The sequence below is a fragment of the Homo sapiens genome, chromosome 18, assembly GCF_000001405.40.
Source record: "Homo sapiens chromosome 18, GRCh38.p14 Primary Assembly".
Lineage (NCBI taxonomy): Eukaryota > Metazoa > Chordata > Mammalia > Primates > Hominidae > Homo > Homo sapiens.
This window is the reverse complement of record NC_000018.10, coordinates 25,232,616-25,256,629: the sequence shown is the minus strand read 5'-3', so window position 1 is coordinate 25,256,629 and position 24,014 is coordinate 25,232,616. Positions and strand designations below refer to the sequence as shown.

Here is a 24,014-nt window from a genome sequence, read left to right as displayed (position 1 = left end):
GCCTCTTTTCAAGCCTTAAAGTCTTGAGCGTAGAGTCAGAAACTCTACTTCTGTCACAAACCCATCTGAAATGCTCCATTTGGAATGCAACTGCATACTCCAACCTGACATAACTGCTCTCTCCTTGGAATCGTCACTGTCTTCTTTTAAGGCATTTATGCTTTTGTTGGCATCATATTTGCTTATGTTTTGTAACTGCTAACTTAAAAAAATTAATTGTGGTAAAGTATACATAACATAAAATTTTACATATCCAAATCATTTTTAAGTGTTACGTACATTCACATCATTTGTGCAGCCAATCTCCAGAACTCTTTTCATCTTGCAAAACTGAAACTCTATACTCATTAAACAATTCCGCATCTCCGTCTCTCCCCAGCCCCTGGCAAATACCATTCTGTGTTTTGTCTCTATGAATTTGACTACTCTAGGTACCTCATATAACTGGAATCATATGGTATTTGTCTATTCATATTGGCACTTTCCACTTAGCTTAATGCCTGCAAGGTTCATCTGTGTTGCATCATGTGACAATATTCCCTTCTTCTTTAATGATAAATAATATCCCATTTTACATATATATATATCATATATATACCATATATATACCATATATATATCATATATATATACCATATATATACCATGTATATAACATATATATATACGATATATATATATATGCCATATATATACACCACATTTTATTTATCCATTCATTCATCATCATTCATGATGGAAGGTTGCTTCTGCCTCTTGGTTCTTCTGAATTATGCTGCAGTGAACATGGACATGCACATACTGTCTCTTTGAGACTGTGCTTTCATTTCTTTTGAGTATATGTCCAGAAGTGGCATTGCTGGGTCGTATGCTTAACTCTCCTAAATTGTGAGCTGATACTATGTTACGAGACTTGAGACCAATGACTGGGTCATTTTCATCTTCATATCTTCTTAGCCTCTATCACAGTGCCTCATCATGGTAGGTACTCAGAAGGTGTTTGTTGATTGAGCAAATTGATAAATCAGTGAAGCAAATGTGTTACAATATTGAATGTAAATGACTTGTATAGATTAAAATATTTACTTCTTTTATATCAGAAATAAAATAGGGAAAGAATATATAGAAAAATACATTCAGTTACTACATATCTGAAAAACGAGAACCCAAGAGCACTTTATGCATTCTTATGTAGTGATTATATTGGTAATTTTATGAAAGGTGGTTGCAGTTTTATACAAATTTGAAGGGAAAAAGTTAAACTTTCCACCTTCCTTTTTACTTTGTATGTAAAGTATTAAGAAATATAACCCATTACCTACTAAAATTCTCAATTGTTTCCAGAATAGTGAAAGTAGCTGTTAACAATAATAATTGTAAAAATATAAAGTAATCTCAAACAGGTTCATGTTTTGTGTAATGATCAGATAACATGAGTAAAAGCAGCAATTATGTGTTTCTGGTCCACACTGGAGGTGGAAAACAAGAAAAGCATATGCTACAACTGCATATTATTAAAAAGGCAACGCTTTATATTTACTTTGCACTTAAAAGTTTGAATGATCTGGGTAATAGAAATAGACAATACACATGCTTTGGAATACATTAAAATTGCACATACAGTAAGACAAATTGCTATTTTATAGCCTTTCCACAATGTAGCAAATTTGTACTTCTGGCTTAACTCATGATAAGTTTGCATAACATTTACTGGGGGTTTTCACTGCGCTAGTTCATTTTTCAGACTCTTTCTTAGGGGTGGTACCATTCCATTATAGAAGTCCAAGGGTCTGTGTATGAAAAGAAAGGTGGGGTGGAGAAGAAATCTGGGGACAAAGATCTGTAATCAAACAAGCTACATAAACCTCAGCGGAAAACAGTGGGTATCAAATAAGATTCAGAGAAGACAAGTCCATTTTTACAGTGGGCTACTCCCATGGGTACCCATTCCCTGTTCTTACCTTGCTTCCTTCTTTTATGTCTAGGAGATCTCAGGAACTCAAATCCTGTATTACTCCATATTCATTCAGGTTGGGTTTATAGAAGCTACCTTGATCTAGTAAATTACCAGGGAGAAGGACTTTGTAAATCAGCCACAACCACAAATCAACCAGCATCTGCAAAGAAGAAACTTAATTGATTTTAAAAGATATTAGGCTACAGATAGGTGAGAATTTGATTTAAAATCAAAATTATAGACAGCTGTCCTGGGTAGTAGCTGATGGACATGTTGTTATTTTATTGCTAGGGAACATTTTTTCTACCTGGTTGATGTAGTTTGGCCCTATCAAGATGGCACTGAAATGTGTTAACTTAGATAGTGTACATGCTTCTACCTGTAAGACAAAATAAGTATATACCAGTGAATACATCTTTTGTATGCATTTACCTTGCTTCATTGATTTTTATTGCATGGTGCAGCCAGCCTTTACTGTCCCACAATTATTCCCCAGTATCCATATATGCTGGTGAAGTTGATATAGAGCCTAGAACCCAAAATGAAAAGACTTCATTACTATTTTAGGACTTTAGGCAAAGAACTTAATTTCTCTGGGCTGAATAACAATGTGCTGGACAAGTTGGTTTCTGATGCTGCTTCCCGCTGTAAAATTGTACTTTTCTCTGTGACAGCATCAGACCTTGTTCATGCCAAGTAAGATTACTGCATAGTCAGAGTAACTGAAGAGTTGGGCAAGGATTTGAGTTCATATCATGTGTAAAAATTATCCAAGAGAAGTGTAAGGTGCTTGCAAATAGTTCCCCCCCACATCTGCTATTGAACCCTTTGGAGGTATAGTTCAAACCAATACTGTGTTGTACAGTGCCCTTAATACTGATTTCCAATTTATATCTGTATTTCTCCAGAGGACCTGAGCAAATTACATGCTGATCATTTCTTATTAACCATATTTTTTATTATCCAAATGCTGCCTCTCATTTAACTTTGACTTATGACAGCTCCATTGTATATCAGCAAATACATTTTTTGAAGCACAAAATCTAAATGGAACCATGTCTTTTCCTCATGAAATATGGAGTCTTTTTTATTCAAAAAATTTAAAATCCCAAATATATACACCACTTTGAGCACCCCAACTTTTTTGAAGGAGATCAAATAGAATAAATATATTCAAGTTTGCTACATAGAAGGTAAAAGTAGTTAGTATAAGTCACAAAAATATAATGAGTCTAATTCTTTTAAACTCCCAATTGTTTCCCCTAAATTTTCCTGAATGTGACAGGCTTCCCTTCAAGATCAGTAATGTCCCAGGAATGTGGCAGTGCAAATAAATGGAAATACCGTAGTGATTTGTACTTCAGGGGTTAAGGGTCTGGTGCCCAGTCAGAAAGGGCTTGTGCCAGGGACCAACAGTATAATTTGTAGAAACACATATTCTTGGAATTTTTGGATTCAAAAGGAAAATTCTTTTTTGCTTTTTTGTGTTTTGCTATTATCTTAAGAGGTGTATGGATTTGATTTATGAACAAGTACTGCTGTAAATAATAAAATAATAAAATGGCATGTCAGCAAGGGATAAAGAGTTACTTACAGAAGTTAAAGTGAAATTAAATAACTCTTGAATCCATTTGTAAAAGTGCCTGTATTCTCAGTTGAATGGTAGTAACTACTGCGTGAAGGAAGTTGGTTTGCCTTATGGATAAGGTTTTTATAAGTACTTAAAATGGAATTAGCATACACCCTTTAACCATGCTGATTTTTGTTTATCCCTGCAACATATTTTGAAAGCTTTGCTCTCCTGTATAAGCCAGTAGAAAGCACAGGCACTTGCACAGCATTTAAAACTCAGATATAAAGCATTTCTAGCACATTATGGATGCGCTATGGGGTTTGAAGTTAATGTGAATGTCAGGCCAGAGAGGGGAGAACTTTATAAGATACTGAATAAGAAACTCCTTTGCCATTTACTATGAGATGAGAATAAAAAAGGAGGACACAGAAAAGGCAGCAATTTTAACTTCTTCAGATATATCCAGGGAAAATACCTTGTGTTAAAAACAGAAGGAAATAGAAAGTGTGTAGCTGATTTCCTAGCCTATGGTATTTTATGATCTGGATTGCTTTGTTCAAGAAAAAAAAAAAGGTAAATAAGTTGCAATGTAGTCCTCTGTATTTTTCCGTGAAGTATTAGATTTTTGTAGAATATGTGCATAGTGTTTATGAATCAGAACCTGAATCATAAATAAAATGTTAATTTGTAGACACATTTAACTGTGGAGCAGATGGAAAAATAGGTATGTGTTAGAAAACTAGGTATTTGCAGAAGCTAATGAAGTTAATTGGTCTCATTTGACTACCTTATTTTCCCAAACCCCCTAAAGACTGGGCTTTTTTATTTCTTTAATTAAAAATGAGTTTGGTATGTTAATATTATAACCTTTCATATTTTCCTAGTTTTCTATATAAATGTCTTATTTATAGAACCGCCCTTAGGAGTCCAGTATTAGTAAGAACATTAGTAAACTGGGAGCAGTAAGAGGGGTGCTAATGCTATACAAAAGCTATTAGCCACATACATTGCTATAATATGTGCTTTTACACCTTATTATTACTTCCCTGTCCTGTTTCTTTTTGATTACATAGAGAAAGATCTATTTTCCTTTAGCTTGAAAACGGTACAAGTAGAAATACATAAAATAATGATTGTGGAGCAGAATTTAATTTTTAAATATCAGTACTTGAACATATTTTGATTGGGTAAATTACATGGTAAACTCCCATTGAACTATCACCAGTGTGAAATCAGAGAAATCACAGCCCTGAGTTAATCAATACCATGTGTGTAGATAATTTTCCCTGAATTATTCCTTGTATAAGGAAAGGTTCAAAATCAAAATATTTAGCTGTTCACCGAAGAGTGCTTTTTAATTAGAGCTTTATGTTGCGGCTGCCACGTTGGCCTGTATAGTGGATGCTGAATGTAGTGGTGCATACTGCAGAGGGTTCTGGGACATTGTTTCTCTAATGTCATCACTAACATATTGCATTTGTATTGATTGTCTATGATTTCTGTATATGGATGATTGAGTTTGAGCAAACTACTTAGGGTTTCAAAGGATTTGGATAATGTTACACTGTAGGGCTGGAAATCTCTTTGAGTATTGTATTGCAAAGGGACAAAGTCATAGTTTCAGTGCATTTATTAGGCCCCTGCTGTAGAAATAGGAAGAATAAACCATCTTTTTAAAGTTAAGAGATCTTGGAATGGGCAATTCTAATAAATCCTGGGTTTAAGGAGAATGGTACGTGCTGTAGTACCGAAGTTGTTTATTCATCTGGAATGTATTAGAATCTTGATTAATAAGAAGACATCTGCAGTTTTACATAAAAAGCAGAGCAGGCAGTTTGGCAAATAGAAATGAGAAGGGAAAAAGAAAAGCCAGTTCCATCGAATGCTGTTGTTTCATTTTGACCACCAAGCATTGTTATTCCTGATATCCTGATAGTATATAGCAAATCGGCATTTTCTCCCTGCAGAACTGCAGCAGAGAATTAAGATCTGTAGTTTTGAGAACAGGTAGGTCCTTTTAAAGGCTTACATGGGAAATAATATTTGTCATTTTATTTTAGAAAACCCAAGTGGAAGAAAGACAAACCTCAGTTATTTGAGTGTTTCGTTTACATGATGTCAAACATATATATGGATACTTGCAAATCTAAAATTTAACATCTCATGGAATATATTTTCACTTTGAATATATTTTTCTTAACTTTTCACTGAAGAATGAATCACTTAAGAATCTCTTACCCTCACAATCATTTTTTAACCAAATGGAGAGACATGATTTTTACATGAGACATTTTAAATTTCAAGATGGCTAAATGATATGTTGGAAAAGACCATGGAAATTATTGTGTTTGAGGGAAATCGAAGCCAAAGCCTGTAAAATGTGTATAATTCATATATCAACAGGATGGCTTCCTAAATTCTCGGGCATTTTTCAAAAGGGAATGATAACATCGGAGTTCACTATTTGGAAGATAACACATTTGGCAGCTAGTTTCTGAAGAATCTGGCACCCATACAGACATTAATCTCTAAGGCCAATAGGTGAAAGATTATTACAGTCTTGCTGAAGGCAGAAATTCATGCATATTGCAGTCATTCTTATGGGAGTAAAAGGAACAAATTCTGACCAGTTTAAAATATGACAGTTTTAAAGAAGGACCAAAACTAAGGAAAAATAGCTTACTTCAGATCTATTCCACAGTAAATATGGCAAACAAGTTGCTGATGATAATTTTTGTATCTGGTATTGGATAATTGCTGAAAGCTGAGGGATGGCTCTTTTTAGCCACCCAGTCCCAGACAGCTAAGTAATATAAAACAGATTCTAAAAACAGCCTTGCTTAATAGGAAAGAGTGTGAGATTATGTAACTTGAAGGGCAATGGACAAATGAAAAATGATTTTACATTTTTCATTGGTGGATCACAATGTCAGGAGATCGAGACCATCCTGGCTAATACGATGAAACCCCGTCTCTACTAAAAATACAAAAAAATTAGCCGGGAGTGGTGGCGGGCACCTGTAGTCCCAGCTACTCCCGATGCTGAGGCTGGTGAATGGCCTGAACCTGGGAGGTGGAGTTTGCAGTTAGCCGAGATTGCGCCACAGCACTCCAGCCAGGGCGACAGAGCGAGACTTGGTCTCAAAACAAAATAAAAGAAAAATTATTTCACAGTCATTAGCAGAGTTAAATTTATGTAATGTTAAAATATTGGTTATTTCAGAGTATGATTGTCAGCTTTCAGCCTCTGTCCCCTGCAAGTGTAATATTTTAGTAAATTTTAGGCAGAGTACAATTCTTTTATTTTAGCAAAGACAACAGAGATAGAAAGTAAAGAAGACCAGGAATGGTGGCTCAGGCTTGTAATCCCAGCACTTCGGGAGTGTGAGGTGAGCAGATCACTTGAGGTCAGGAGTTCGAGATCAGCCTGGCCAACATGGCAAAACCCCATCTCTACTAAAGGCACAAAAATTAGCTGGGCATGGTGGCATGCGCCTGTAATCCCAGTTACTTGGGAGGCTGAAGCAGGAGAATCACTTGAACCCAGGAGGCAGAGGCTGCAGTGAGCCAAGATCGTGCCACTGCCCTCCAACCTGGGTGACAGAACAAGACTGTCTTAAAAAAAAAAAAGAAAGAAAGTAAAGGCCCGGCGTGGTGGCTCAAGCCTGTAATCCCAGCACTTAGGGAGGCTGAGGTGGGTGAATCACGAGGTCAGGAGATGGAGACCATCCTGGCTAACACAGTGAAACCCTGTCTCTACTAAAAATACAAAAAATATTAGCCGGGCATGGTGGCGGGCACCTGTAGTCCCAGTTACTCTGGAGGCTGAGGCAGGAGAATGGCATGAACCCAGGAGGCGGAGCTTGCAGTGAGCCGAGCAGTGAGCCGAGATTGCACCACTGCACTCCAGCCTGGGTGACAGAGCGAGACTCTGTATCAAAAAAAAAAAAAAGAAAGTAAAGAGGTATGGTACCATAAATATTTATTCTTGCTATGTGAGAGAGGGTTGTTAATATATAAGACAATGCTGTAATTCAAGGATTGTCAAAATTTTATTATGGAAGTCAGCATAGTAAATATTTGAGGTTCTGTGAGCCATATGGTTTCTGTCACAACCAGTCAACTCTGCTGCATTGAACAACTCATATTCAATATGTGAATGAATAAGAATGGCTGTGTTCCAGTAAAACTTTATTTACAAAAGCAAGAGCATTTGGCCTATAAGCCGTAGTTTGTTAACCTCTCTTAAAATAGATTAGTTTAGCATTTAGTAGGTTCTCAGCATTTAGTAGGTGATTATAATAGTGCTCAGTACTTGAGTTTTTAAATAAGTGCGCACTTGTAGTTGTATCCCTGTCTGACAGAAGGAAATTTGTGTGCATATGCCAGTGCCTGCAAGGTCTTACATATTTACACTGTTATTAATGACTAATTAAGTAAGTGGGAAAGGTGTGTAAAGGTTCTTTATCTAGATAAAGATAAAGTTCTTTAAATAAAGCTAGAAAAGTACACAGGATAAGAGGATTGTTGTAAATATCAATATAGCTTTTCAAATTAATATGCTAACTCGTGTTATTTAGAAAACCATAAGGTTATCTTTGCCTAAATGTCATGATGAAGAAGTTTACGTTTTAAGACTGCCACTGCATAAATGATAACATCATAATATACATTCAGTGTTGCCAAGTCTTTTCCAGGAGAGGCAGGCCGAAAGGCAGGTTAGCATGTAGAATCATTCTTGCTTCAATATTCTGTTGTCATTTTTGCAGATGTTCTTCCTGGGTAAAGCTCCATTGGTGTATAACGTTGTATTTCAGATTCAGAGGTGTTGTTGCTGACCTAGAGTCTGTGGGACATACATGTCAAACTCCTTTTTTATAAGGGTGCCTACTTTGTTCTAACCCAGCCAAAATAGAGTCTTCTTTTAACCTTCCTATCAGACGTGTGTGTGTGTGTGGTGTCAAGATAGCTGACTTTAAGTAGAAAAGCAATCTGTAACATTGGTATTGAGTCCTGTTGTTTCTGACATTTGGATTCAAAACTATGATTTTTATCCTAATAGTCTTCTTGCAAATATTTGCAGTAAACCAACCATATAGTGACTAATAGTGTGACAAATGGCAGGAATTTGGGAGGAAGAGACATTACAGGCATTTCTCCTTCCCTCATCATATATAATTAGTCACTGAGTCTTTTGGATCTATTTTTCTAAACAAATGAATGCATTTCCTTCACTCTGTCACTGGGATACTCCTTCACTTTAGGTTTTTTTGCCTCTCACTGGACCATTGCCATAGCCTTATAAATGGACTCCCTGCCTCTAGACTTCATCCAGTCCCTCCTACTCCAAAGGGCTCTGGTGAAAACCATCTCTGCTGATTGAAATCCTTCAACAGCTCTGTCTCTGCTGCCTGCAAATAAACTTGGGGCCATAAGCCATCATGATCGGGCTCTACTTCCTCTCACAAATTCTATGTTCTAGTCCAGTGGCACTTGAACCTGGCTGTAGTGTTGCCTGAGAAACTTCAAAAAAATACTAATCTAAACTTCACCTCTAGTCCAATGCGATAAGAATTTCTAGGAGTGGAGTAGAAGCATCAATATTTTAAAAAGATCTCCAGGCAGTTTTAATGTGCAGCCAAGGTCAAGTTCCTCTTTGTAGTCATTTTACACCATTGATTCCCTGATCACAAATGTTTGCATTTGTACATACTATTGTTTTCCTGCCTGGAAAACTCCTGCTTATTCTTTAAGGTTCAACTCAAAGAACACATCCTTGGTGGCTATTATATGTTCGACAAGATTGTTTTCGTGCTTCTTCCACAGAACACCCACAACATTTCTGTAGAGGGGTCTATTAACATTCCTGATTTCCTTGCCTTGTGATCATATGTTTACATGTGTGCCTCTCCCATTCATTAGTCAGTGAACTATTCATTGTAACCATGTATTGTGTCTTGGTCAACTTTGTATCTGCTGTGCCTCTTCTGGGTCTCATCCATAAATGGGTCATCAGAATATCATTATGGAATTGATGACTGCATCAGAAGAGCAGGACTGGGGTGGTAGCTAGAACACACCTGAAAATGTATTCACTAGTTCATTCAGTGGGCTTCAAAATTATCTTTGTTCCAATGGAATATTAGGTAAAAACAACTAGTCTGGGAATGGGTGTTGTCAAGCAGGAGAGTCCTTAGGATGAGAAGCACTATGGAACCCCTTCTGTGGGTTGGCAAATACAAGGTCATGTGACCACAGCCCAAGTAAAGACTATGGTCAAGATTTTGGGCAAGAGAGGTGACAAAGGGAAGAGAGAAAACATCAATAATAATTGAACTGAATCCTCTCTTAGGTGGGGAAAGGAAATCAATGCTCACATTAAATTGGCTCTAAGGTAACATATTAGCAATGTTAGCAAACCCACAGATAAGACTGGAAAATTCACCAGAAAGCAAAATGTTACTTTAAGAGAGGGTGGAGGGTGGTGGAAAGAAGAATGATGCCAAAGAGCCCAAAGCAGTAACTGAATAGTCTTAACAATAGTAGCTACATTTTGGGGTTTTGATAAGTCTTTGCCTACAACAATATAAAATATAGTGAACAGATTAGTTGGATGGGGGAAAAAGGAAAATAGGATCAAACAAAAAAGAAATCTATATAAGAGAATGATTCTTGTCTATTTTAGAAAGTTAATCTATCCCTACAATTGATTGTGGTGTTATACGCACTGAAACAAAGGGACCTTCTACATTATGAATATTCACAAAATATGAAGTGTAATAGCTTTTGAGCAACAAACTCATTTATAGCTATTTTAAAGCTTTTTTTCATAAAGATCATAAGACTTTCTTTTTTTTTACTTTATTTATTTATTTATTATACTTTAAGCTCTAGGGTACATGTGCACAACGTGCAGGTTTGTTACATATGTATACATGTGCCATGTTGATGTGCTGCACCCATTAACTCGTCATTTACATTAGGTATGTCTCCTAACGCATCCCTCCCCCCTCCTCCCACCCCACTACAGGCCCTTGTGTGTGATGTTCCTGTGGCGCAATCGGTTAGCATGTTTGGCTGTTTTCTTTCTTTTTTTAAGAGAAGGGTCTCACTCTGTCACCCAGGCTGGAATGCAGTGGCACTCACAGTAACCTCAAACTCGTGGGCTCAAGCAATCCTCTTGCCTCAGCCTTCTGAGTAGCTGGGACAACAGGCATGTACCATCACATCTGGCTAATTTTTAAATTTTTTGTAGAGATGGGTCTCACTATGTTGCTCAGGCTAGTCCTGAACTCCAGGCCTCGAGCCATCCTCTTGCCTCAGCCTCCCAAAGTGCTGAGATTACAGGTGTGAGCCACCACGCCCAGCAGAGCACAAGCATTTTAAAAATGTAATATGTACATTTTAAATACTTCTGTACATATTTACAAAAAACCAAGAGTGGGTGAAGAATCACATTTCATACACCTTTGATCCCAGTGCCTAGCAAAATGCCCGTTTGATGAACAAATGGGTAAAATAATGAATGAATAAACTTGAATACAAGTTACAAAAGCAATTGGGACTGTTTTGTCTCAAGTAAGCCACCTTCTTCCCTGTCTTGCATCATCCACCTAGCTGCAAAGTGAACGCATGAAGCTTAGACTAAAAAGCATATGAGTGTTTGGGTGATAATGATGTGTCAATGGAGGTTCATCAGTTGTAGCAAATGTACCATTCTGGTGGGGGATGTCGATAATAGGGGAGACTATGCATGTGTCCAGGCATGGCTATATGGGAAATCCCTGTACTTTCTGCTCAATTTTGCTGTGAACCTACAGCCAACCTAAAACATAGTTTATTAATAAAAAGGACGAATTCAAAGATGTGTAGTCAAAAAATTATGCATTCTAAAAAGTATTCATTGATGACTCACAACAAAATTAATGGGATTTTTAAAACTCTCTTCCTCAGAACAGGAATGCTGAGGCTAAACAACCTTGCAAAAATGAGATCAATGAAAATTTGCTATAGCAAAGTTGATTCATTTGTTTTCCTCTATTTTCAAAACCACCAGTTAAAATGCAGGCAGTTCCCAGCTTATAAATAGATTATCTCCCAAAAGTTAATTTAATAAGCTGGTTTCTTGGAATTCACCACACATTTTCCAATGGAGCAGTGCAGTAAGTGGGAATTACATTTTAAGGCTAGCCCACAAATATATTTAAATATATAAGGTTGGTAGAACAGGGCCACAGAATGCAGCTATGCAGTTTGTGAACTGCACAAACATCCCCAGCAATGGGGTGAGGAGACAGAAACCTAACAGCAGTGCTTGCAGTCACGACCAGCAGAAGAGACACTTAAAAAAGTCATCTGTGAGGAGAGTACCTTTTGGAATTTCTCCTCTTAGAGGGGATTGCCTTTTGCAGTTCACATAAAGATACCTCTGGTTTGTGTTAGAGACCGCTGGAACAACAGTAAGTTGTAAGCACTGTTTAGATGAGAATTTGAATTCTGAGTTTTCATTAAGGAAATGAGACTTGCATTTCCCCAGGATTCACTTCCAGAACAAAGACTCTGGGTCCCTTTTCCTACATTTCTTGAGCACTGGGAATAGCACCTTTTCTGGCTCCTCTAGAACAGGAGGAGTGGCAGACTGGGGAAGCTGAAGTTTTAGTGGTCAGAGTCTCTGTGAGGTCTTAGGCTTCCTGAAAGCAAGGACTGCTGTGGGGGAAGTAGCTATAAGTACAGTGGCTCTTAAAGGAACTCTGATCTTTGGATGTGGGGTGGTATAAAGGGTGAGAGTGTGTGTGTGTGTGTGTGTGTGTGTGTGTGCACATGCATACACAGCTTGTGTGTTAGAATGTCTCTGGGAAAGTTGAAACCAGGAGAACTTCTGCACTGGCAGAGTAAAAACTGCTGGTGTATGGTGGGGTCCCCTGGACCTGCATCTGGTGGAGCAGGATGGCTATGATTTCCTTACTTACCACTATTGGAAGGAAGGTAGTCTTGGAGTTTCTCAGTGGACTATGGCAAGGACTCAGCTTGGGGAGAGTGAGAAGGTGAAGGTGTTGGTGGTTCATTTGTCTGTGTCACATGTAAGTTTGGTGTTCTGAAGCCAGTGAATTTATGCGGTTGAACAATAGATTCATATCATCACAGAGCTGAGTTTAAAAATGCTATGAATCAATGTGCTCTGTTTTCATTTGCTTTTTCTAAGTATTTTGGTATTGAGAAAACCCCTCCCCCCAAAAAACATCAAGTCCTCAATTTTACATTACAGTGAAGTTCTCTAGACTTAAGACCAAGTTACATTAATTAGAACTTATTTCAATAATTTTAAAAAATTTATGAAAACAAGACACTTAGTGCCCACTTGGATGTGCCATATAGTAACAGTATTAATCAGTTGAATAATCCACATTAATCAGTCCTGCGTTGAAGTAAAATTATTAATCAGCTTGATGATCTAAGCAATCTTCTGAGGAAATGAGTTTGTCTTAGAATTTAAAAAGTGATCATGGAAAAGTTAGAAAGAGTGAGAAAGGAAACGAAGAAGGATACTCATTTCAGTTTATTTCAGTTATTTTGACACCAGATCTTCTGCTGATACAGAGTGACTCTGAGCTTTGATATCCAGTTCTGAACAAGTAATTTCCTCTTTTAATTGTGTCCTTTTCTGCCCAGAGAGAAAGTTTTGTGGCAAAGTGTCAGTGGCTGGGAAGAGCTACCTCTTGAGTTGTCTCTTTAACCCTGAGGGAATGAAGTTATTTTGGTATAGCATGTAAGCTGAGGCCATATGTGACATTGAGTAGACGTAAATTGAGGCATGATACCATTTAATTTGGCTTTTTAAGCTAACAAAAGGACAAGGAAAAAAAAGTCAAACCAGTATTGACCACTGTGAAGAAAAGATGATTGGTTTGATATAAACGTTCAGAGTTCCACAAATAATGTGGAAACTTAACCATAAGGGAAAATTGAGGTTATCTAATCAGATGAAGCATTCCAAAATCTACAGGTGATCTCCTCAAAATCACTGCAAACTCTGTTGAGAAAGGCAGACTTGGGAATAGAAGTTGGGAGTCAGGGAGTGTTACAAAAGAAACATTTTCAGAAATTCTTTTATACCAAGGGATGATTATACCAACAGCTGATTTGGGGTTCTTTTGTTGAAGAAACCCAAAATCTAGTGAGAACGTATTGTAACACGATGGCATTGCGTATTTGAAGTGGAGTCTCATCAGATTATGTCCCCTTTTAGTTGTAGCCTGCTTTGACATTCCCCAACCCCTCTAAGGGGGCTGTGATGGCTTTGCACCAATTTTTCAGTTTGTCCTCTCCCACTCTCTCCATTTTGGTATGTCCTTTGTATTCACAGTATAGAACAAGAATCACCCACTACATTCGATAGCTAAACAATGAGAAAAACCAAGCAAAACAAAATATGTTCAAAAACAGGCCTTATTTGTTTCCCAATTTTAGCATTCATCACTGCAAAATTTAAATCTTATACATCTAAATAATTGAATTCTCCCCAGTAAGAAAGGAATTACAAATTAAACTCATTGTGCAAGAAAAAATAATATATTCCTAGATCAAGCAAAACAAGCAAAAAAAATATATAGGATGTAGCAAATATATATGCCATGAAAGTTGGGAGTTTTTTAGGTGAGAGTTGGTATTTGGAAGTCAACACCATGATCTTTGAACTTTTTGATTACGTCTCTTGAAGGCTGAAAATTTGTAGGGTAAAATTTTTAGTTTCACCCTAAAATTTCCTCTTGTGTGGCTTGGCAAATGTGAAAGTTTGAGAACCTCAGAAAAATCATGTTGAAAGAACCTGCTCAGAAGAGATCGGGGATGTGGATTTGGTTGATGACACAGGCTATTGAGTCCTTACAGAGAATAGTTTGTCTTCCATTTTTAGATGGCTTTAATTCCTCCAAATTGCTCCTTGAATAATAGGAAAAAGGCAATTTGAATTTCAGTGACAGATTGGACATAACAGGTTGCAACTATTAGGTCTAATTTTACCATACTGAGAAATAAAATTGCCTAAACATAAACATCGATCACTGATGCAGTAAATTAATTTGTACAGAAAAAGTAGTTTAACTGCAGTGTACATTAAACATTGAAAATTTTCAAAATTACTGCTCTCTGAATTAATTTGTACACTTGTTTACTTGTTAAAAGCACGCATACATTCTTTTTTCTAAGGCAGCGTGGGTTTGAATAGAATAAGAAAAAAGTATAAAAAGTGAGAAGGAAAAACAGAGATGTGGAAGGCACACAGATTGGCCTGAATACTTACAAATAATGGTTTTTCTTTCAATTTTGTTTTTAAGTGCTCTTTAGAATGTGCATTGTTTTTGAATCTGTCCATAGGATACTAAAGATGTGCACATTTTCCCCCTCATTATAACAAAGATAAATGTGATGTTTTAATAGCCTTGACTTACGTTTTGTTAAGAATTGAAGGTAGGAGTAATTAGAAGAGTTTTATGGTTTGGTTTCTTGGTGAGTTTACATTCAAAGGTGTCCTAAGGCTTGGAACTGTTACATTTGTATTCATCAACAACCTGACCCATGCATTTCTTTATACTTAACCATTTAAAAAAAATCAGCGAGCATGTTTGCATTGTTCCCTGTAATTCTATTATGAGGAATGCATGGCAAAGTTTGGATAGTATCTTTCTAGATTGTTCGAGCCACCATGGAACTGGAGCTGGCAATGCGTTGTGGTTTGATAATATCTCCTGCCTACAGTTTTCAAGGACAGTGGTTCGATTCAAATACAATTCTGATAAGTGGCAGGTTTTCGTGTCTTTAATGCCTTGACAAGGGCATCACTCTCAGGAGAGGGAGGTGAAACCGTTTGGACGAGGATTCCATTCCTGCTCCTTTGTTGCTGACACACTAAGATAATGGACAATTAAGAGAGCCTTCACTGCAGGTGAAAGTATGGGGTTATCACTAATATAAAGGAGCCCATGGGGTGCTGGGGTATGAAGGAGAAGAGGAATGGGAATTTTTAAAGGGAGTATAAAACACACAGATGAGACGCCTAATAACTGTTTACATATTGCACTTTTACCTGTGATAATGGTGAATGATTGGAGTGTTCAGTATTGCTTGCTCTAACTTTTTTTTTTTTTTTTTTTTTTAATATCTGGTTCATTGCATATGACACAAAGTAGTGCAGAAAACTCGCCCCAGTGCTGGCCTGCCTGTCGAGGGGTAAGGGAACCTGGATAAGAAAGAGATTTGTTTTGTGGAATCTGTCTTTTAGACCAGCTTCCATGGGGTTTTTAATCTAGGGTAGTGGTTGTGAACCCAGCCTGTACCCTCTATGGGTCTTAACTCTCAGAGAGTCTGATTTAATTGGCCTGAGGATGGATCCAGTATGTAATTTTAAAGGCTCTTTGGACGATTCCAATGTGTACTCAGAATCAAGGGCTATCATTGCTGAGTTTGTAACAGAAGATCAAGCTCTTCAACACTCAGGCTCTCTAGCAGATTGTGTGATGATTTAATAGGTTTGAATAATAGTGTCTGTGTTGCTGTTACAGAAGATGCGTGCTGCGTATGCTTCTGACAGCCCTCTCGTGTTTATGTCAGTGTCGTGGGCAAGCATTCAGGCATATCTGGGGAGAAGTTCCTTGTCTCTTGACTACTGTTCCCCACTTTCCCTTACTCTCCTTTAGTTTCTGGGTTTTGTTGTTGTTTTTGTTGTTGTTGTTTTTCCTTATAGATGTTTGAAGCTACCACTTCCTGTGAGATCATGGATAAGTCACCTAAGAGTGGGGAGGAGTCTGATAAAGGCAGAAGTGCCTCATGTGACGTCAGTGTCCAACAGTGACCAGCAACTTTGTCCCTAGTCTTCTTACTCTGATGGGGGAGATGGGATGTTCTGTATGCATGGAAATTTGAGGGGCACTTCTGATGCCACTTAGGACTAATAAAGGTGAGGCAGTCCAGAGTATTTCAAAACGGAGTGCAGAAGAGGTTAACTGATTTTCTTTTGACTTACACTATCATTTGTCTTTAACAGCCCTGAACGACAATAGAGTGCACTGCTTCTGATAAGTATGGGTTCTCCTCAGCCTGAAGAGATGTGTGTGATAAGATAAGATGGCTTGAAAAAAAAGAGAGCTTGAGGGAAAGGGACAGGAGGAGAGGGAGAGAGAAAATATGTTAACTGCTTTGACTGCAAAATACCCCCTGGTAGCCAGAGATAAGACACCTTGAGCTACTTGGAAGACCTTAAACAGGATGTAAATGAAGCCAATAAAAATCACTTGAGATCAAGCCCTCCTTCTCCTCCCCCCTCCTATTTCCAGCTCTGACAACAGAAGGCTTCATTTACTGTATGGCATACCACACTTACATTCTGAACCCCGGAAGTTGCAAGAGACTGTAGCCTGTTCAAAGAACAAAGAATTTCTAGAGAGGTCCAAACTTGAGGCATTTAATCAGCAATTCTAGCATCGCCTCCCTGAGTGGAAAAAGAAAGTATTGCTGAATATAGGAAGCTCCCTTCCTCTTTTCTCACTTCTTACTCCAGATATTCATTTGCTTTGTAGTTTTGTGACAACCTTCTTTCTATGTTGAAATGGTTGGCAGGATGAGCTACCTTTGATAGTGTATTAATATTTCCCATCTAGCTAACGCAGCTTGAAAGTAATCATCAACAAAAGTTTAGCAGACAGACTTTTTCATGTACACACTTGAAACACGGCTGTCTACTCAGAACTATGTTTCCTAAGCATGTAATACCAGGCTTTATGTACTTGGAACTGTATAACTCTTTAAAATGGTCACTCTTTTTCTGGAAATGTACAAGCTGCTGCCAACGCTCTTACAGAGAGGAAGTTACTTGCAGGAGCTAATTGAGTATTTCACTGAAAAGATTTGAAATATGGAGTCCTACTCAAAGTGGGAGGGGGGCTGTTAAAGGATAGGAGGGCAAAGAATATAGTGATCTAATTTTCTTTCTGTAAAAGCTGCTTCTTGGAAGAACTGGGATTCAATTTGGTCTTTGAATAAGGGCGAGAAAGCCCTCCATCAATGATGTTCCATTACAGAGGAGCAAACACGGGAAAGGCACAGCTGAGTGCAGCAAACTTCAAGCAAGGACTTAGGTGATTCAGGGGAAAGAAAAGATTCTAAGGTGATTCTCAAGCTTGGGAATGCAGGTGAAGACTCAGGAAACTTGCTAAAAAAGGGAGATTTCTGGGCCCCATCCTCAGAAGTTCAGTCAGGAGGCGTGGGGTGGAGTCCAGGTGTCTGCATTTTAAACAGGCAGTTCAAGCAGTTGGTCTGCTAGTGATTGGTGGATTAGACTAAGAAATGCTGCCCTGTGTCATCTGGCTGTGGTAGAGGGTCAGCCTTTGGTTTTGTTGTGTACAGCCAGGATAGCTGGAATGATAATTGAAGAAGGGTAGCTTAAGGGATAGGTGAGAAGGATCCTTCATTTGAATCAGTGGCAGGGAATATGTCCCTACAGGCAAGGGTGTGAGAGGAAAGTAAAGCTGGCCACAGTGCCAGTTTGACTGTGTCTTTTTTTCTGCTTTGCTTTGTCAATACCTGATCCGACCATACCACCCTGCTCAAAGCAGAGGATGGAAGAACAGGAGAGAGGCAAACAGACCCACTGTTAAGGAGATGTGTATATATAGGATTTTTCTGGTCAATAGCCAGCAGTGAAATCAAATTAAGAAATTGGCTGTCATGACTTGTTAACAGAGAGTTATAGGTTTGTAGAGTTGTTAGGCAATTTTTGTCTTCTTCTGTATATGTGTGAATACATACATCAGTTAGCATGAATTGGTTTAGTAATATGAAAAACAATGAATTTTTTTTAAAAGAGAAACACTATTAAACACCACTTTAGGTTTATTCATTTACCCATAAAAACTCAGCATTTGAGTTATTGTTGTTGTTGTTTTAGTGGAGGAGAGTTTGGGAAGGATGGACTTTGAGGGTTTTCTAATACGTAGAGCCAAGGTGCTTGCCTCGGCACTGGAGATTTGGATGTGGGTTTCAGTGCCACTGTCAACTACTATTGTTAGTACAAGATTATAACATGTTACTCATCCTCGTTGACCTATTTGTTCATCTGTAAAATTAGCACTTTTTTTCCCCTAAAGGCCCACATTTCTCACAGGTCTTAAATCTTATGTTTCATATATATACATGAAAAGTTAGGAATGACAGCCTTGACTTTCTTTTCTCTGTGTAGGCTTCAATCACATTCACTCATTTTCTTTCCTTTGAGCCCTAAAGTCAGACCCAGAGGTATGCACAATCCATGCCAAACAACAGGCCATCTTAAGAGAAAAGAGCAGAGCTCAGATGTGGGAGGAAGCTTTGTAAAGATTTCAGAGAACAGCCCTTTGGTACAGACAGTATTGAGTCAGTGAAGATTCTAAAACTGTGCTGGTAGGTTTTATATCTTTGAATATTAGCAATGTGTCTCATTACTGTGGCCACACTACCTTGGATTCTTTTCTTATACATTATTTTGTTATTTTTAAAGTATCTTGGATGGAGGCAAAGTAAGATGCTAGTATGTGGAGGTATCATGGGGTTTTTGAGGCCTGATTTTGTCACAGGTGTTGGAATATTTGCCAAGATGTATCATCTCAGATAATATGTGTTATTTATATATAGACACATATATATAATTTAATAAAAATATGATTATAGATATTAATCAGTAGAAAGTAGCGTCATAAAGTCTTCCCTTAGAGACATATTTCATTAAGACATGATTGTACAGATATTTAGTCCTATTAAGTGTCAAATTACTACGATTAGCACTTTTGTAATGAGAGTTACCTAAAATATTTGAAAAACTACTTTGGCATAAATCACTTAGTCTATTCTGAACATTTAGTCAACTGTGGATAAAAGCATGCAAGCGTACACATACCGTGTGCCACAATTTTAACTGTACTGGTTCCCATAAATAAATTACCAGGGCTGTTACCAAGAAAAAAATAATGAAATGAACTGGCTTGGATGTTATCATCATATTCATTCTAAGGTAGAGATTCTAGGGAAGAGAAAAATCAAACCAAAAGTGAAAAATAAAACATAAAGGGCAAAGAGGGTAACTGGAAAGTCCTCAAATTGATAATTCGCCTTATTTTCAGAATGCCTCTTTTATATTTTGCTGAATTAGCAAAATTATAAATTTAAAAACTCTATAAATACATGTACTTAATATCATAAGACCTGTGTAGAGATACTTTGTCATACCCTAACTAAAGATGATTTTAAGAAAATAGCTTTGGCTTTCCAGTTTATATAGTACTTTTATAAACATTATCTCATTTGAGATAAAGGATTGTCTTATATCATTTGGGTTACTTGGAATCCAATCTCATTTTTCCATTTCAGTTTTACCATGTAAGTGTTAATGTGAAAGGTAATAATTCTGTTGAAACACTATAAAAATTCTATTGTATAAGGCATATTAGTGATTGGCCCTACTGTAGAGTCTTTCTTATGCATGAAGTCTCAAGATAGTCCAACATCCCTGAAATGCCTTTTTAATTTTTTTTTTTTTTTTGAGATGGAGTCTCACTGTGTCACCCAGGCTGGACTGCAGTGGCGTGATCTCGGCTCACTGCAACCTCTGCCTCCCGGGTTCAGGCAATTCTCCTGCCTCAGCCTCTTGAGTAGCTGGTACTACAGACGCATGCCACCACGCCCGGCTAATTTTTTGTATTTTAGTAGAGACGGGGTTTCACCATGTTATCCAGGCTGATCTCGAACTCCTGGGCTCAGGCAGTCTGCCCGCCTCAGCCTCCCAAAGTGCTGGGATTACAGGCGTGAGCCACCGCGCCCAGCCCCTCATCTCTGAATTCCTTAATACCACTGTAGCATATAATTTCCTCATTAAATGCATAAAACTGAGGAGCAGACAACAGATACTACTTTGAGTTGCAGCTGCTGGGTGGTTGGCTGGGTGTACTCACTAGCGATCTCAGTGGCTTTTTCACCCTATGAAAACAGCCTGACAACCTGTGTGAGTCAGTCTGTGCTTTAACAAAATTCAAAATGATTATTTGCCACAGACCTTAACAATTCCTATCATTTGTTAGACACATGTATGTCCAAATCAAGAACTGGTACTGAGGTCAGTTGTAATACAAAGGCATATGGATAATTGTAGTAATAGTTCCCCCCTAATCTTTGTAACAGCTTTTTCTACATTAGCAAACCATATTTATCACTTTACTGCACAATGAACCCACAGGGGGTGCTAATTGTTCATTAATTAAATTTTAGCCTTTCAGCACTTTTGTATTCTCTAGTGGCCTTGTCTGCAGTGAAGTATACAGTGTGGCCTTTTCAGGCTGCCGAAAATTCATGTTGGCGTTACTACTGCCATGGTTATAATACAGGTGAAATTCGGCTCCAATAAATACCATTTCAGGACTGTTATAATTCCTGGTGACTGAAAGTTTTCCGGCCTTGGACCAAAGCCTACATGTTGGAAAAATAGTCAGTAAAGTCTAGTTTAACAAGACAAAACATTCTGTTAGACCAGATGCTGCTTTGAAATAGAATTTGATTTCGTTTTTTGAAAATTCTGGTGGTTTATGGCAGTTCTTCCAAAACCATTAACGTGGTGAAATGAAGTTTCTAAGATCCGTCATTCCCTAACGAAGCCATTTCCGAACTTAGTTTTCTCAGTGGAAGAATCCCCTTTACCTTCTGCTTCCCCAGTGAAGAAGTTAATTTAAAATCACTAATGATTAACTTGGTAGCATTGAGAAATTTACTGAGTATTTTTAAAAAGTGTAGGTCATCCTTCAAAGCTCAGTACGTATATTTCACACTGGTGCAAAGGATTTTGAAGTGAAATAGAATTGGCCTCAAGGACTTTCTAACTAAGCCAAATAGTCACTTATAGAGTGGTGCTGGCACTATGGAATGTGGCTCCTGGACTTTGAATGCAGGCCCTTTCGTTGTGTGGACTTTACAACACTCATGAATTAATCACAACTGGCCAGTGTGTGTAGCTATTAACCAATGAACTGCTACACATTGATTTTCAAGATATCTGTGAGTAGCATTCAGAAGAGTTTTTTTGGAATATTTTTGTTTGTTTATTTTTATTTATTAAGACTGTTATTTAACAAGAATAATAATATTGTTAATAAATTAATCCATATTAATTTTATAATGATAATATTGTCTATCAAATTGTTATTTAAATAATATTGTTAAATAGTAGTTCTTTATTTTTGTTTATTTTTATTTATAAACAGAAATGCCCTTTAAGTCATTAAAAATTTTTAGAATCTCAATATGAAAACTGCAACAACTAAATTATCGTTAATTTTGATTCCTTTCTGCTGTTCTCACATTTATGAGTTATCATTTACCACTTATCACTTATAGGTAACTTTGGCTTTCATAGCAGTAGTAATAATGTAATACATTTTTAGATTTTAGCAGTACAGAAAACTCCTTCATATAAGGTCATGTTTGAGTCTTATAATACCTCATATGTTGAGGCAGGCCGAAATTTTTCTGATATTATAGACAAGGAAATCAAAACTTCAAAAAAAAAGTAGTTTCTAAAGTTCACAAGCCAATATTAGACCTGAACACATAGTAGGTGCTTAATAAAAGTTGATTAAATCAATGGATTAAAGCAATGAAAAACTGCTTTAAATTCTTTGTGGTATGAGGTCATATATAAACACAAGAGCACATAGTAACTAATAAATGCCTTCTAACTCAAAATAGTAGAGAATAAAAAGAATACAGACTCAGGAAATCCACTCTGGTGACGTCTGTCATTATTCAAGAAAAGATCAACATGTTAAACGGTTTAGAACACCCTCAGTCACGGCACTGTAAACAGATGTGTAATACACAGTTGCCAATTATTGAACGCCAAGAGGTGGGTGCTTATCATTAGTTATATATATTTTTAAGTGAGCCAAAAGATAGAAAAAGAAAAGCAATTCTCACCCCCCACATAATTGGAAACCACTTTTCCTTCTGTCTGGCTTCAGAAACACAATGTCTTGATTTCCGTGCGAGAGAGGATGACTGTTCTTTAACTGGTTTCACGTCAGCTTTTTCCTCTGATTTGAGAGGTGGAGTTAAGTGTGAACTGCTTAAGAATGCACTGTTTTCTATTTAATTTGGCTGCGGAAGATGGAATTCATTGAGCTCCGTCTGTTCAAATGAACTTTAAGCAACAGCAAGCAAAACATTTATACTTCTCCCTGCACATGCAATCGAAATGTGTCTGGTGAAAGAATGGATGAAAAGCCCAGGATTACCTAAGGAGAGCCATGGAGATGTGATAACAACTCCTTATCTCTTTGTTGGCTCATCTGAAGTGTTAAAGTGTTGTTGGGGGAAAGCGAGCCTCTTTTTTACTAGGGAGTATTGAAGGCAAAAAAAAAAAAAAAAAAACCTCTGAGCTTGAGCTCTGATATCTGGAATTCATCTTAAGACTGTTAAAAAATGTGCACCACCAACTCCCGCTCTTCACAGCTGCTGTTATTAATGGGTGACCACCCTTCTTCCTCATAACCTAACTGTTAATTCATTTAATTGGTCCTTCTAGAACAGTTCAAAATATTACAGAATTTAAAAGCATCTGTGAATTATAAATAATTTTAAAGTTCACATTTCTCATTTGAACACCCAGTAAAGGGTATTCGTTTTCAAGTAGTTAAATAAGTTATATGACAAAGGAGTGAATTTAATGTGGAGCTGTTGATTTTTTTTTTTTAAAAAGAAGCATGATAGCTATTAAAGTTACAGCTTTTCTAAAACTGTTGACATTTCTATGGAGAATGAAGGGAAGCAATTGTGTAATAATGTATAATAGTTTTTTTTTAGCATGACCTTATCTTTTAGCAATTTAAATCATTGCTTTAAAAATGTATTTTGTAATTTGGTTAGAAGATTTTAAATATGATGGTGTAAAATTGTTACTGTGTTGGCATTGAAGTAACATGTCAAGTACCCTTGTTACCTGTGTCTATTAAACATGCATTTCAAAATATTGTCCTCTTTAAGTAGAGCCCGACTTCTCTTAGTGTTTGTGCACACCTGTGTATCTCCCCCAGGAGTTTCAGCTTATGTTAAAGTGTCTCAGGTAGCTAATGACTGAAAAAGTACTGTGAATTCTATTTAGTAAGAAATTTCAGAACTGCTCCTATAGCCTGCTGGCAGAAGTAAACAATTATGTAAGGCAAGTGGGGGGAAACCTGAAATTTTGTTGGTCTCAAGTCTTACCCTATTGTTTGAGCCTCAAAAAAAAATTTACTGAATCAACTTACCATGTTGCTAAATAATGCAATGATTGTATTGCTCGTGTTTTAAGGAGAAGAGAGGTATAAACCGCATTCTTGGCCTCAGAATTCCATAGAAAAACACTTGTGCCAAGGTTACCTGCCTGTAAAGACCCAAGATTATATCCCATGTTTGATAATTTAATGTTTGGAACATAGT

The 24,014-nt window shown here is 37.3% G+C and overlaps 1 protein-coding gene and 1 long non-coding RNA gene across 14 annotated transcripts in view; one reads left to right on the top strand and one right to left on the bottom strand.

Annotated features, from left to right (window-relative positions):
- The window catches only part of LOC105372031 (uncharacterized), a 46,669-nt gene extending 24,069 nt beyond the window's left edge, over positions 1 to 22,600 (bottom strand). For 2 of the 3 annotated variants that reach the window (XR_001753378.3, XR_001753379.3), the window contains exons 1-3: positions 22,515 to 22,600; positions 2,390 to 2,486; positions 1,962 to 2,117 (exon numbers count right to left, since the gene is read on the bottom strand). This is a non-coding gene — a long non-coding RNA (uncharacterized LOC105372031). Of the gene's footprint in view, positions 1 to 1,570; positions 2,118 to 2,389; positions 2,487 to 22,514 lie in introns of those variants that run through there. The other variant, XR_001753377.2, reaches the window with a different exon arrangement.
- The window catches only part of ZNF521 (zinc finger protein 521), a 290,243-nt gene that overhangs the window by 95,537 nt on the left and 170,692 nt on the right, over positions 1 to 24,014 (top strand). The gene's annotated exons all lie outside the window — the stretch shown is intronic.